The sequence below is a fragment of the Homo sapiens genome, chromosome 3 (assembly GCF_000001405.40).
Source record: "Homo sapiens chromosome 3, GRCh38.p14 Primary Assembly".
Taxonomy (NCBI): Eukaryota; Metazoa; Chordata; class Mammalia; order Primates; family Hominidae; genus Homo; species Homo sapiens.
In genome coordinates this window covers 108951136-108966856 of record NC_000003.12, presented here as the reverse complement: position 1 = coordinate 108966856, position 15721 = coordinate 108951136, and the positions used below count along the sequence as shown (strand labels likewise).

Here is a 15721-nt window from a genome sequence, read left to right as displayed (position 1 = left end):
AAATGAGTGCCCCAGAGTTATTCCAACTTACTTACACTGGTCTACCTCTGAGCCTTTCCCCTCCTGATATTCCCCAAAATACTCCTATCGACTCTCCCAATACACAGTGGGCCTCTTGAAATCCTTCCCCATTGAGCTTGGTCAATATTATGTTTTATATGAAGACTCTCAGTTTTTCCATGTGAAATTAATCTTGACCTCTCTGTGTTCTGGGAGAACCTTAAAACTTTGTTTTAGCATTAGTTAACATTTCTATCTTATAATAGTTTATTATATTTCACTTTCTCCTCAGTTAGATGATAGAATCCTTGAAGTTAATAATCCTGTCATCAAACTCTGTATTCTAGCAGCATTCAACCAGTGCCTTTGAATGCATCTGGATCTTAATAGTTACGTGTTGAATCAAAGTTGATTGTTTCTGCTTTAGTGACTGCCAACATAAACACTTAAATGAATATTCCTGTTTGTATGGTACAAAATCTATAGATGTTGTAGGCCTTCCTTACTTTGCACAAACTCATTAGGATTTTGGAGCTGCAAAACTGCTAGAGCTCCTACTCTTTGAATTCAAGGTAGAAAATTAAAATCTCAGTTAAATATCCTTTCTTTCAAATCCTAATTCCATTCTGAATTAATGTAGTTCGGAAAGACTTTGGTTTTTGATCTGCAGATACTTCTACAAGAGTGGGTTTAACCAGCAGAACTAAGCCTCTCATCTTGTTACAATTATTTTCTCACCTTAATTAAAATGTTAACACACAAAAAAGCTAGTACAACTAGATGTCCTTTTACACTGAGCTTGAAAAGTTGTCAAAAGTGTTACCTTTCATAGAAACTTCCTGGAGAGGTTAGCAGAACCTCCTGGAGAGAAAGGCAAGAGAATAAACCAAAAGGCTGGCCTGTAGAATTTGATAAAAACGTAGTTTACTGGTTACTAAAAGGTAAACTTTCAGAGACTGAATATGACTTTGTAGTGTACTATATAAACATTCTTGGTCTCATCTCGTATTAATAGTGTCGAGGCTTTTTGTTTTTGCTTCTTTCTTTCAATTTCAAAATAATTATAGATTCATAGGAAGTTGCAAAAATAGTACAGAGAGGTCCTGTGTACTCATCACCCGGTTTCCCCAGTGCATAATTATGCATAATTATGGTACAATATCAAAACCAGGAAATTGAATTTGGTAAAATGTGTGTGTATAGTTGTATGTCATTTTATCATACATGGAAGTTTGTATAACCATTACCGAAATCAGGATGCAGAATTCTCATTACTGAAATCAGGATGCAGAATTCTCATTACCATAATTATCTCCCTTATGCTACCTTTTTATAGTCATATCCACTCAGGCCTTCCACAATTACCTCTAACTCCTGGCATCCACTAATATGTTCTCCATCTCTATTGCTTTGTCTTTTCAGGAATGCTGTAGAAATGGAATCATATGTGTGTGTCATTTGACAATTGCTTTATTTATTCAGCGTCACTTCGGGTCCATTTAAGTGTGTCAATAGCAGGTTCCTTTTGATGGCTGATTAGCAATACTATTGTTTTTTCAAATAATGTTTCCATAATGTTTGCCATTTTTGATATTTATCTTTGATTTGTTTTGGTTTATTTTATTGTGGCTTTTATTTTTATGAAAAAAGTGTTTTCTGACTGTTATTCAGCATGGCAAAAGCTATAAAATTCTGGAGTTCTGAAAACTGTAATTAAGTGGCTAGTGACAGGTGAACTGTATGTAACACTGTCCTCCTTATTCCAGCTGAGTTAAGTTATTCCTTCTACTCCACCTTCAGGCAGTAGATATCTCTCCCTGGGTTTGCCTGCAGCCTCTATAGGAAGCATCTATGAAGCTTCCTGGTGGAGGTGGTGGTTACCTTAGTTGTAAGTCATCAACTTGTTAGGTTGAATTAAAGATGTTCAAAAGTGGATTCCCTTCCAGGATCTTGAAATGTGGCGTGGATTTCAAGGCAGGATTTACCCATGTGTTTGAAATTCCCTTGCTGTGAGTGCTGCATTATCTGCTGTCCTGAATCCCTGCTATTTAGTGCCTTTCTTGGGGGCACAAGGTCCTTATGTTCCATAAGATTTATGTGCACATTTGTATTATCTCATGCTGTGAACTAGAGAGTTCTTGAGGGCAAAGACTGTACCCTATATATCTCCACGTCATCTATAATTAAATGCAGTGCTTTCGAGTTAGGAACTAGTTAGTGAATATTTATTAAACAGAATTTCCTATATGTAGGGATTTTTGTTTGCTTGTTTAAAGGATTTTGTAGAAAAAGGGGAAACTCGTGAGGTCAGCGAATGCTAAAGGAGATGATGTGGATGTCAGAGAAGGGTCTGCACATAGTCAACGTAGTGGAGGGTCTGAAAAGGGAAGGGTAGGCCCAAAAGACAAATGAGGCTACCTTACAACTTTCTTGGCAACCCAGTCATGTTAGAATGCAGAAATCTCCTTATTACATAAACATCAAAATGCTTATCAAAATGGGATTTGCCGTGTATCTCTTTTCTCAGAATATCTCTTGGCCTTCTAGAAATGTTTATACAAGCAATTAATGTCATTCTGAAACTGAAGCATTTGGCCTCTCCATTACCTCTTTCTGCTTCATGAGTGCCTCAGGCACAGCATGAAATTTTGGAGAACAACCAAGATTCTTCTATTAATGAGGGTCATATACATAACTATCTGTACTTTTTGTATCACGATAAGGAACCCGAAGAGAGTGAGAACAGGAATTCCTCTTTCTGTAGTTTCTGTGCTTTCTAGATGCTACAGCCTTGCCTTACAAGTAACACTACATCATCTGCCAGACAGCCCCAAGTGGTGGGCCATTCTGTCATTGCCTGTGAATTACTGGTGCTGTGGAGAGAGTCACAGGCACCTGCTCACTTTGTGCCTTAAATAATCTGGTGATCGCCATTGGGAGAACAGATTCAACCTTTACGAGGTTTCTTCTTCATTCCAGACCAAAGGTCTCCAAGCTCACTGTCATGTGTCTCTTTCCTCCTTATAATTACAATTATTGAAATATTATACATTTTTCTCTTCTCTCTTAGTCTTCTATCAGAGTGTATGTAAGTTCCTTAAGGGTATCAATATTTCCTAAATTTAGACCACCTACGAAGTTGACACTTGGTACATGTAGGCAGAGTTGGAATATGAAATTGTCTAGTGATATTAGAGGGAAAGTAATATTTTAAAAACATGCTAAAACTGTTTTTAAAACATTCCCAGATACAGAATACTTACATGGTCCAATATGAAAAAAAAATAAAGAGGAAATTGCAGTCCATTATCTATGATTCAAATACAAGAGGAATACATAATGAAATCTCTCTGGGGCAATGTGAAAATAAAAGAAAAATCTCTGAGGATAAGCTGAAGAATCTTCGTATAAAACTGGCACTATTGTTGCAGAAACTCCAACTGGTGAGTGAAAAAGTTGTATTTGAGCAGTAGGAGTAGACTCTATGGAACGAGAACTCAGCTAACTTCTCCTAACATTGTCATTCACTTACTGACCTGGACAAGTCACTTAAGTCAGCCCTTACTCTCTGCATAAGGATTTTGAAATCATAAATAAATGAACTGTGAAGGCATATATTAGAACATTTAGAAACTCTGTGTTCTTTCGTATCTTTTTTTTTTTTTTTTTGAGATGGAGTCTTGCTGTGTTGCCAGGCTGGAGTGCAGTGGCGCGACCTTGGCTCACTGCAACCTCCGCCTCCTGGGTTCAGGTGATTCCTCCTGCCTCAGCCTTCCGAGTAGCTGGAACTACAGGCACACATTCTTTTGTATCTTAGTTCAGAATCTTTGCTTGTGCTGTTGGTATAGCATGATCATCCTTGGTGTCCCCTTAATAACATGTGACCAGTAGGTAATTTTTTCAGTTTTTTCAGACAGCGAAATATTTTACTTTACTTTTATTTTAATGCATAAATAAAAATCCTCTTAATCTTAGAGGACAGTTTTGGAGAAGTCAGGAAACATCATGTAAGTATGGATTACTGTCAGTTTTGTTTGTACGTTTCAATGCATAAAGAATTGAGTTATGTGATAGGTTGAACTGATGAGGAAGAGCCCATCTTCTATAGCACATGGAAATGTTGCATAAAATACAACAAAACTGAAAATATATGTAGTCAGGATTGAAAGTCTTCCTGTGGATTCTAGAAATAAATTGAGAAATCCAAGCCAGAACAGTGAGCCTAGGGAGCCTGTGGCATTTTGTCCTCAAATATAGGCCCTGAGTGCTGGAACAGGAGACAGAGCCTTCCTGGGCCATGCAAGGTGAGGGGACAAGAACTGAGACCCTTATGGAGGATTGGCTAGAGGATTGCCTTGCCCTTGAAAAGGCTAGGGAGAGACAAGAAACTCGCCATACATATATCTGTATAATGTGTGAAGAACATGGACCTTGAAGCCAGGCTGCCTGGGTTTCATTCCTGGTTGTGAACATTTAAACGTGGGAGTCCCTTCCCACTTCAAAAAAATTTTTAATTTATCTGAAATTTATCTTGTATTAAGTACAAAACAAAATGCAGAAAAGCTTTTTTTTTTTTTATTTGCTTAATTTAAGTATATTGCCAAAAGAGATGTCCCTCTCCCCTTTGATGGTCTAGGCAACAGTTAAAATGTTATGTTATTAAAATTTAGAAAGATGTTTAATGCTAATTTTTATATAAAGGTAATTGTATTTGCGCTTCTATCAACCATACCACTTCAGCCAATTTGTCTAGTTTATTTATTGCTATGAGAGTAGGATTTCAGTAGAGCTCCTTTTGGTTCTTGTGGCTGTGAAGAATGCCAAATGTTTTCATGTGTTAAAAGTCTGGTATGGAGCCTAGCACATGGTAGTGTTTCAGTGACGATTATTGTTTCACTAACAAGTAAACTAGAAAGACCAAAGAAATTATGTATCCTAGAAATTGAATACCACTTCCTGACTATTAAACAAGTTTATAAAATAATTGGCTTTCATAATAGCAAATCCACGTTAGGCTAAGAAAAACTGAAAGAATAATCGTTTACTACTCCTTCTCTGCCAAACCTCTAGGTTCTTAAGCAGCAGCCAGAGTAACCATACTAATTTAATTTGCTGTATTCACAAAGTTTGGTAGGCAAGTTAAGGGCTTCAGCCAGCAGAGTATGAAACTCTTTTGCCTAATCTCAGTGGAGAGGTACTCAAAGGGCTCCTGCCCAAATGTATTACTCTCATCGCCCCACATGAAATTTCTATTTCACAGTTTCTGGTTGCCAGAGCCACTGCCGTAGAGTACAGCAGAGAATCGAGATGAGGGACCCAGAGCAGATAGAGATGGGGCAGGCACATGAAGAAGCCGAGTGTGGAAATAATGTAGCATCCTGGAAGAAGTTTATTCCACCAGGCAGAGGATAATAGCCAAAAGATGAGATTATATCTAACAGGACGAGAAGTGCTTTGTGTCAGGGTCACAGGGCATTCTTCAGGGTCAGCGAATATTTGGAAGTCAAGGTAAATATCAACATCATTGTAATCCATCTGTAGGAACAGTGTCCCAGTCACCAAGCTGGAACTCAGTAAAATTCAGCCTTGTTAGAGCAAATCTGTGGTAGAGGGAGTAAAGTTGAAGCATATTTTATGGAACCAGAGAAAAGATGCAGAGGCGAGGTTAATGGTGCTAGACACTTAGTGCTAGGATTGTTTCTGAAAGGCCCTTCCTAAAAATCCTCTTATCTGTTCGTTCAGTTGGAGAGTTAGTTGATCCCATAGTTGGGCCCAAGGGAATGAGATTTAGATCAGTCAGCCAAGAGGGAACATTCAAGGAGACCTCAGTTTATGGAAAAACGGGATTAAAAGTTAAAAGTCAAAATGTAAACTTTATTTCTCAACATAATCTCCATCAAGGTCAAGACACTTATGTAAGCAATGGCAGCAGCCTTTTAGTCCATCTCTAAAGATCTAAGAGTCCTTGGAATTTAACCATGTCAATGCAGTCTTTTTTACATTATTAAAGAAAAATGGATGCCCTTTACAGATTTTTTTTTAAAGATTTTTAAAAAGAAGTCAGAAGGAGTCAGATCAGGACTATAAGGTGTATGCCTAATGATTTCCTGTCAAAACTGTCACAAAATTGCCCTTGTCTGATGAGAGGAATAAGCAGGAACATTGTCTTGGTGGAAGAGGACTGTCTGATGAAGCTTTCCCAGGCATTTTTCTGTGAAAGCTTTGGCTAACTTTCTCAAAACACCATTATAATAAGCTGATGTTATTGTTCTTTGGCCCTCAAAAAAGTCAACAAGCAAAATGCCCTGAGTATCCCAAAAAATTGTTGTCATGACCTTTGCTCTTGACCGACCACTGTTGCTTTGACTGGACCACTTCCACCTCTAGGTAGCCATTGCTTTGTCTTCAAGATCATACTTGCAAAGCCATGTTTCATCTCCTGTTACAGTTTTTTGAAGAAATCCTTCAGGATCGTGATCCCATTTGTCTAAAATCTCCATTGAAAGCTTTGCTCTTGTCTGCAGCTGATCTAGGCACAATGGTTTTGGCACCCATTGAGTGGAAAGTTTGCTCAAGTTTAATTTTTCAGTCAGAATTGTGTTAACTGAACCACTTGAGATGTCTGTGGTGTTGGCGATTGTTTCTGCTATTAAGCATCATCCATCCTCTCCAGTTAGAGCATGAACAAGATTAACTTTTTCCTTGCAAAGGGATGTGGACAGTCTGACATTGCTAGCTTCCTCTTCAACATCATCTCATCTGTTCTTAAGTTATCTGTTATTTGTTAACTGCTGATTTCTCTCTTTTTAAAAAATTACTTGCCATAGTCCTATAGCCCCCTCAGTCTAATCTCATCCTTCTCTGTTATAGGCTCTCCATTGGGGACATTGTCCCCATAAACTTTTCATGAAGCATGAATGATTTTACCATTCTTCCACCCAAGCCTCACCATAAATTTGATGTATGTTCTTGCTTCAATTGCAGCAGAATTCATGTTGCTCTGATAGGGGCTGCTTTCAAACTGATATCTTATCCTTTTAGTGCTTCAGACTAGATCCTGGTCAAATATGTCATAACAACTTAGTGTGAGTTGATTTTTGTTCAAAATTTTTGAAATCCATGCCTACGTAGTTTTTTCATAATATGCATTTTCCATGAACTTTTTGAAGACCCAACTCATACGTCTAACTGTTCCATGGATCAAGAAGTCCAGGAAAGGAGAGCATGAAATCGCCTCAGTAGGGAGCTGAGTAAAAGAGAGAAGGGGAGGATAAACAGGAGACAGACCAGGGTAGTAAGCCAAGAGCTGAGGGAAAAGACGCTGCAATGGAAATAGAGGAAACAAAGAAGACAAAATTTGGCTACTTGTCTGTTTTTGCCTACAAGGCTAAAGATTCATTAATTTTAAAAATAGGAGATTACAGTCTATAACAAAGAAGGATGAGATTAGACTGAGGAGGCTTTAGGAATATAGCAAGTAATTTTTTAAAAAGAGAAAAAAAGTTGTACTAACTTCCACTACAGAATAAAAAAAATGAACCAAGTTTCTAACCGCTTGTTAGCATAAAATGACATTAAATGAGAAAACCTTTTGAAAGGTTAAAAGCATGATTCAAATGTAAGGTGGCTTTTGTTGCAGCATGAGTCATAGGGAAGACTGTTAGGAGGCTGCCCAAATTACAGGAATAAGCTCTGCAGCTTCTTTCCCTGGTGTGACTGTTGCTTCTCTTTTCCAGGGTGGTCCAGAAGGTGACCTGGAGCAGACTGACACTTATTTAGAAGCTTTGCTTAAAGAAGATAATCTTCTCTTCCAGAACAATTTAAATAAAGTAACTATAGATGCAAGACATAGACTCCCTTTAGAAAAAAATGAAAAGACTTCGGAAAATTAAGTCAGAGATGGTATTACCTTTTAAAAAATGCTAATAAGAAAATTGGAAGATTCTTTTAAAAATTTTTCTTTTTTGTTGTTGTTACTGTAAAGTCTATTCTGTTTAACAATAAGAAATAAGAAATAATTTTTTTCAAATAAGAAAATTGTGTACTCTAGAAATGGAGACCGATTTACAATTTATGTATTCCCTAATCCAATTATCTAAATCTTCCTTTTCTTTCAGAAATATTAATAATATCTAGAGTTCTCTAATTTTCATGTGAGCTACTGAAAAAAATGAAAATGTCACTCAAGCTTAACTTTTGTTATTCCTTAAAAGATTGTTATTGTAATTTTGTTATTCCTTAAAAACATTTAAAAGCAGATTTTTTCAAAATCGATATGTGAAGGACTACAGAATCACCTCCTCTTGAAGATATTGAAAAAGAAAGACATTATGCCCTTTCTCCACTATAGCCAACACTCAGTCAAGCAGAAAATACAAATCCCCCCAAAACTTTGAGACATAGCTTATATAATTTTATTATTTAGTCATAGTAAAAGAATAAATCTCCTAAGCATAATATGTATACATATTACACATATGTAAAAATTGTTGTTTTACATTTACATATACGTAAAGAAGTATGTTTTTACACTTTTCTTGATAAGTGTTTTTTTTTTGTTTAGAAATGTCTGAAACTTTAGACAAAAACAGTAAAACATTTAATATTCATTTGTGAAACTGTATAATTTTAATTTATGTATATGCACATAGCAAAAGCCTGGAACATGGGAAATGGAATATGGTAAACTATTTCATTTTTGTCTTTAGCCACTTAGGTACTCTTCTCAAGAGGCATGTTTTTACCAGTTCCTCGTAAATCTGTCCCCAATCAATATCTGTAAAACCATATATATCATGATATAGCTATAGATATGGATGTAATAGCATCCAAAAGATGCTGCTGTTGCTTTTTTCCACTCAATATACCTTCAAGATCATTCCATATTGAGACCAGTACATGTAATAATACATATGTATAGAGAGCTAATGAGATAACCTCTCGTTATCTTCAACTGCTCCTTATTATTTTATTCAATGGAAATACTAAATCTGTTTAACCATTTCCTTATCAATGCATGTTTAGGTTTTTATTGTTCTTTTGGATTTACATATGCACAACATTTGAATATCCTTATAAATTTGTTCATTTCACACATGTACAATTATGTCTGTCAAATGTCTCAGCAAACAAATTGCTGGATCAAAGGGTATATACATTTATTATGAATAGATATTGCCTAATAGCACTTTGAAAAAATTTTTTTAGTCTACACTCCTACAGCAGTGTATGAGTTTTTTTCCTCACACCTTCACCTACCTGGTGGATTACCAGACTTTCTTATCTTGCTGATCAAACAGGTGAAAAGTGGTATATCCTTGTAGTTTGAACATACATTTCTTATACTTTGAGTGTGATTGAGCATCTTTTCATATGTTTAGAAGTCATTCAGATTTTTAAATTGGACTTTGTCAATTTTTCTACTTGGTGGTGGGTATTTTTCTTATTGATTTGTAAGAACTATCTTCGCATTAGGGATATTATCTTTTTTATATGATATATATTACAGATATTTTCTAACAAACTTTTTATTTTTGTTTTTATGGTGTTTTGAGTCATCTGGGATTTTTTTAAAGATTACGATTTAATTTCCTTTTGTTTATGGCTTCTATGGTCATATTTAGAGAGGACTCTCCTATTCTAAAATTATAAAACAATTTTGCTTTGTTTTCTTATAGTGATTTATATTGTTAAACCTATGATTCATCTAAAATTTATTTTGGTGTAAGAAGTAAGTTAGAAATCCTTTGTGTTTATGTATGTGTGTATGTGCATTTCCACATAGCCATAGCTTTGTCCCAGAATTATTAATTGATAATCAGTTCTTTCCTACTCTCTTACCATACCACCTTTATTGCATATTAAATTCTTATTTGTAATTGAGTCTAGTTAAAAAAGAATCTATTTATTTTTCATTGAGTGCTTCATCTTTTCTCATGCCAGATTCATGGTGTTTTTGGTAGGGCTATTTAATAATTTTATTTTTCAAAATTTTTTGTGTATTTTTTGTGCTTGATTCTCAGAATTACATTTTGTAGCCACCAATATCCCTCAAATTCTATTTTTTTTTTAGATGGGGGTTTGTGGTGATAATACAGATTAATATAGAGAGAACTGATATGGTTTTTAATAGTAAGTCTTTCTACCCAAGACCAAGATACGCCTTTGCATATCCTCAAGTCTTCATTGGAACCCTACAGTACCATTTTAAAATTTTCTTCAAATACATCTTGCACATTCCTAGTTATATTTATTGCAGTTAGATTTATTTTTTAGCCTATCATGAATGAAGGCTTTTTCCCATGATCTTATGACTGGCTAATGTTCTATACAGCAAGACTCCTGATTTTTTAATACAATATTGTATTCAATATAAGAATTCTCATTTTACAAATAATTTTAAAGTTTTTTTCTGCATCAGCAAATGATCATTATGCAGGTTTTCTTTTTGTTTCTTTTCTCTTTTTTTTTTTTTTTTTTTTGAGACGGAGTTTCACTCCTGTTGCCCAGGCTGGAGTACAATGGCACGATCTCCGCTCACAGCAACCTCCGTCTCCCGGGTTCAAGCGATTCTCCTGTCTCAGCCTCCCGAGTAGCTGGGATTACAGGTGCCGTGCCACCATGCCTGGCTAATTGTGCATTTTTAGTAGAGACTGGGTTTCACCATGTTGGTCAGGCTGCTCTCAAACTCCTGACCTCAGGTGATCCGCCCACCTCGGCCTCCCAAAGTGCTGGGATTACAGGTGTGAGCCACTGCGCTTGGCCAATTTTCTTTAAAGTAGAATTTATATGAAGAAACAGTTTCTGGATCTCAGGTCCTTATATTCTTGATCCATCCAAAGTTTTCCTTCCTCAAAGGATTTTCCTGCCTCCTTGAAAACTTTTACTACCTTCCTCTGCCATCATCTGTATCCATTTTTTCTTTAATTTAAAAATTAGTGATTAATAAATGTTAATGGTGATAAAAAGTCAGCACCTCTGAGCATCCTCTGGCAGACATTTAGAAACAGTCTTAAAGGGGACTTCCCCAAAGAATGCTTTTTGAAAATTCTAGCAGGATATTTCTCTAATTCCTAGCTGAATAATCCCGAGGCTGAGTCCTCACTGTCTCCCCTTTGTCCTTTTTACTGTCCAAAAAAGAGTATCATTCACTTTAATGGTTTCAAGTAATTCTTTCAAATGGGTTCAAATGGGTGAGTTTTACATTCTATGACCTTATTTTCACCTTTTTTTTTTTTTTTTTTTTTTTTTTTTTTTTTTTTTTTTTAGACAGAGTCTCACTGTCGCCCAGGCTGGAGTGCAGTGGCACAATCTCAGTTCACTTGCAACCTCTGCCTCCAGGATTCAACTGATTCTCTTGCCTCAGCCTCCCGAGTAGCTGGGATTACAGGCGTGCACCACTATGCCCGGCTAATTTTTGTATTTTTAGTAGAAATGGGATTTCACCAGTTGCCCAAGCTGGTCTCGAACTCCTGACCTCAAGGGATCCACCCACCTTGGCCTCCCAAAGTGCTGAGATTTCAGGCATGAGCCACTGTGCCCAGCCCTTTTATTTAACTCTAATTATGACATCGAAATGTCCCATTGAGAGTCTACATTGATATGTTTGAAACAAAATTAACCATATTCACTGTAACCACCACCACTTCTGGTCAAGGCAGTTCATTTAGGCCATGATGGCTACTTCTTAGGAATCAAGGGTTTCATAATAAACAGGTAATCAGTCAGGACTAAGGAATAGGGACAAAGACAGAGACCAGATATATGAGCTGGGCCAAAATGAAAATAAAAGAAAGAATTGAGTGAGGTTAGAAAAGAGAACTGTAGGCCAGGTGTGGTGACTTGTGCCTGTAATCCCAGCACTTTGGGAGGCTGAGGCGGATCATGAGGTCAGGAGATCGAGACCATCCTGGCTAACACGGTGAAACCCCATGTCTACTAAAAATACAAAAAATTAGCTGGGCGTGGTGGCGGGCGCCTGTAGTCCCAGCTACTCTGGAGGCTGAGGCAGGAGAATGGCGTGAACCCAGGAGGTGGAGCTTGCAGTGAGCTGAGATCATGCCACTGCACTCCAGCCTGAGGGACAGAGCGAGACTCCATCTCAAAAAAAAAAAAAAAAAAAGGAGAACTATAATTTAGGGGTAACAGAATTATATTCTACCTGGGGTTTTCTGGTTCTAAGTATGGTTGGTACCAAAATGGGTTGAGGACCACACAAAGCATTCATTTCCACTACTGGACCTTGGATACAGTTCTTAGGTCCATTGACCCTGTTCTTAAGTTCATTGGCAAATGGGGCTTGGTTAGGACAAGATTAGCCAGATTAGAAAACTGGAGTGAGATAAAGCTGGCAGGCCAGTGGCATGTGTAGATACTTGAGAGACCAGAAAAAGGTAAGAACAGAGGGTGGGGGAGAGAAAGGAAGAACACTGCCAGAAGACACAGCCCAATATGTTCCTTTATCTGACTACTACATCTGAAGTTCTTCTTACTACTATTTAATTCTCTTTACCTATTTTTCTCTCTTATACATAGACTTCTTTTTAATAATACTCAATGTATGATTTTTTCATGTAAAATGTTATCTAAATATATCTTCACAATACTCAGGTATGAAAAGGCAGAAACTTTTATTACTGTTTTACAGATGAGGAAACACGAGAATGTAAGTAATGTTTCAATATAGTTAATAAGTGGTAGAACAAAGCATAGAATCTAGGCTTCCTGATTGCAACTCAAAGTTCCTGCCATTAGACCCACTGTACCACTCAATAATGTAGGCAAAATTTATGGCTAACAATATAACAAGGATCACCCTCTCTAAAATATTGCGTGTTCCCTTCACAAAAAACTATGTCTCTGCATGACTGTAAGCATGTTAGTTACCAAGTGCCAAGTGACCTTGGTTTTAAAACTGGGCAGATAAGTTAATCTCACTGGCTTTCTATTCTTATTTAGCTTGTTGCTGTAAGAGGTTTAGAGTAGCTTTCTGAGGGCATATGTTAGCCTTCAGTTTTAGTGAGGAGTAAGGGACTAAATCCAGCAAAAACTTAAGTGAAAACAACCTGAGGAAAAGCTGTAGACTGTGAGTCAAGATGGGGAATGGCAAATCTATAGCTGGTGATCAGAAAGCAGTTCCTACACAAGAGACCCATGTGTGGTACAGAACATTTATGATGGAATATCCATCCGGCCTGCAAACACTACATGAATTTAAGACACTTTTGGGTCTGCAAGGTCTGAATCAGAAGGCCAATAAACATATTGATCAAGTTTATAATACCTTTGACACGAACAAGGTAAGATCTTTCATTTTTCATTTCATTTGAAAATGCTGTGGTTCTGCACTCTTCCCTTTTTTTTTTTTTTCCTGTAAAATAGCCTTAAGTAAAATGTGTACATCCCACTGAATGGAGAGGTCTTCAGGCAACTCACAGCTTGTAGGTAAGTGAGTCATTAAATACTTTTAGTACTGACGGCATGAAAATAATTGGGAACTAGCCTCTCCCACCCTAGGAAGTGTTCTGCATGTAGGGAGTTATTTTAAAACCAGATTAAATCTCGGCATGGAATTCTAATGCTATCATTTAAATAAATCTAATAAGTACAGATTGATTTACAAAGACTGTTTTCGAAGTATTTAATGCATTGGTGACATTTTATAGAAAAGCAAATTACAGGACTCTGCTTTTAAAAGTGTGATTGCATCTAGATTGGCAGATATAATCAATACAAATTAGCCAACATGTTGTCTGTACTCAAATCAAAAGTTAAACTGCTTCATATTACTTTTTTCCCCATAGTTTACCAATTTAGTTTGGGAAAAATGGAAGCTTAACAGTTTTAAATTCAGACAAATTTTTGTTTCTAAAGATTGTTACTCAACTTTTATCTTGAATTTACTCATTCCTGAGGAGCTGTAGTGCATTTAATTTCATTTCTTGAAAAAATACAAAGAAGAGAAAAGAATATATGGAATTGAAAAAAAAAAGAGAGACAAAAAAGCAACAACCTGAAATATCAGGCTCAGGTTCTGCCTGCTTTTACTTGTTTATTTTGGTTATTTTACTGTAGATTTGTATATTTCAAAATGTGTAGATATTGACTAGAATAAAAAGGAACAGAGAAAATGCTAATAGAAAATAATGACTTTAGAAGGCCATCCAACTGATAATAGAAGAGAAAGAAGGGGAGGTAAATTGAGTAAAATTAAAAAAAAAACTGGTTGTTTGATAGGATGTGTAGAATTTAGCAAAATACTTTAAACCAAGAAGCAGGTGACTTAAAAGGAGGTAACAGGCAGGAACTTGGGAAGATTAAACCTGTGCAAAATTAACAGCTGTTTTAATCCTTGTAGCAATGTCAGGAACAGATTTCTTTAGGACATTATGGTATGGTCTTTTGTGCTTTGTTACCAAATATGAGTTAAGCACTGCCTGTTCAGCATGACAGTGCTTTCCTCCTCATCAATTTTACTTAGTGTCAATGCAAGCAAAAGGCGATCTTCAAGGAGCTGACAAATCAGTGGGAAAATGTGACAGATTCCGCTTTTGTTATTAATCCTGGAAGTGTGTTCCAGATACTATAAGCATGATGCCACGTTGTCTTTATTTGCCTCTCCCTGTGTATGTCTCTCTCAGCTCTCAATCTCAGTTTTCTCTTTCTTTCTCTCTGTCATTCTCTGTGCTTCACTCTTTGTATGGCTGCTATAAGCAGCCCAATATCAGGATGAAAGTCTGTTGCTCTAGACAGCAGCTTCTTAGGCTCTAAGTACTCCTGAGAGGTTAGAAAATGAGCTATCGAGTTTTACAGTTATTATCCAAAGGCGTTGATGTCATATCCCATGCCAGCCGTTAGGTTGCTAGCCCAGTATTTGTGAACGCATTGTACATGTCAGTGGTTCACATGCAAGAGTGGGAACATGTGGAAAGGAGTCCTGGGTGGAAGCAAGGATCTGCTGTCAGATGAAGCCCACTGTCAAGGAAGCAGGGACAATGTCCAAACAGGTGTGTGTGTGTCCTTGGTGTGAGAGCCCTCTCAGTGTCCACCACAGGAATGGCCCGACCCATCCCAGGAGCTTAATTTAGATGGCTTGGAAGTTCTGCTGCTATTCATCAAAGAGATTTTATGTTTGCTTAGGAAGGAAGTGAGCCTAAGCAGTAATGACAAATGCCACAAAAGGTGTGGGGATCTCAATATAAAATCAGGTGGTAAAATGACAAGGGTAAGGATTGTTCATTATCAAGTGATACTAAGAAATGATGTGCAATTATGCACAGGAAAAGTCATATATTTAATTAGATGAATTGATAAAACTAGCAACTGTCCAGAATCCCCAAAGATTTACTATTTCTATGCAGCTTCTCTGCAGTTTTCTTTTTTTCTTTGTGTTTTTATAAGTTCGACTTTATTTTTTAAATTTTATTTTTAAAATGAATTTTATTGTGTATGTCTAAGGTATGCAACATGATGTTATGAGATACATATGGATAGGAAAAAGGGTTACTGTAATGAAGCAAATTAACATCCATCATCTCACATAATTACCCATTTTTTGGTCTTTGTGGCAAGAGCAGTAAAATCTACTCATTTAGCATGAGTTGCGTATAAGTATAATTTTATTACTGTAGTCCTCATGGTGTGTGATGAATCTCCAGACTTGTTCCTCCTACATATCTGCTACTTTTATCCTCTGACCTACATCTCCCCATTTCCTCTTCTC

The 15721-nt window shown here is 36.7% G+C and overlaps 2 protein-coding genes across 14 annotated transcripts in view; both read left to right on the top strand.

Annotated features, from left to right (window-relative positions):
* The window catches only part of MORC1 (MORC family CW-type zinc finger 1), a 159887-nt gene extending 151278 nt beyond the window's left edge, over window positions 1-8609 (top strand). For 8 of the 11 annotated variants that reach the window (NM_014429.4, XM_005247362.3, XM_011512692.2 and 5 more), the window contains 2 exons: window positions 3249-3443; window positions 7737-8609. In NM_014429.4, coding sequence (NP_055244.3) covers window positions 3249-3443; window positions 7737-7892 — 351 coding nt within the window. In that variant the 3' untranslated portion in view covers window positions 7893-8609. Of the gene's footprint in view, window positions 1-3248; window positions 3444-5260; window positions 5494-7736 lie in introns of those variants that run through there. The other 3 variants (XM_047447968.1, XM_011512693.2, XM_017006169.3) reach the window with 2 other exon arrangements.
* A 3052-nt stretch (window positions 8610-11661) lies between these two features.
* GUCA1C (guanylate cyclase activator 1C) overlaps window positions 11662-15721 on the top strand; it is a 47404-nt gene continuing 43344 nt past the window's right edge. The window contains exon 1 of one of the 3 annotated variants that reach the window (XM_011513334.3): window positions 11662-11715. Coding sequence is in view for 2 of the 3 variants with exons in the window: in NM_005459.4 (NP_005450.3) it covers window positions 13095-13298 (204 nt within the window). In the remaining variant the exon portion in view is untranslated. Of the gene's footprint in view, window positions 11716-12977; window positions 13299-15721 lie in introns of those variants that run through there. The other 2 variants (NM_005459.4, NM_001363884.1) reach the window with 2 other exon arrangements.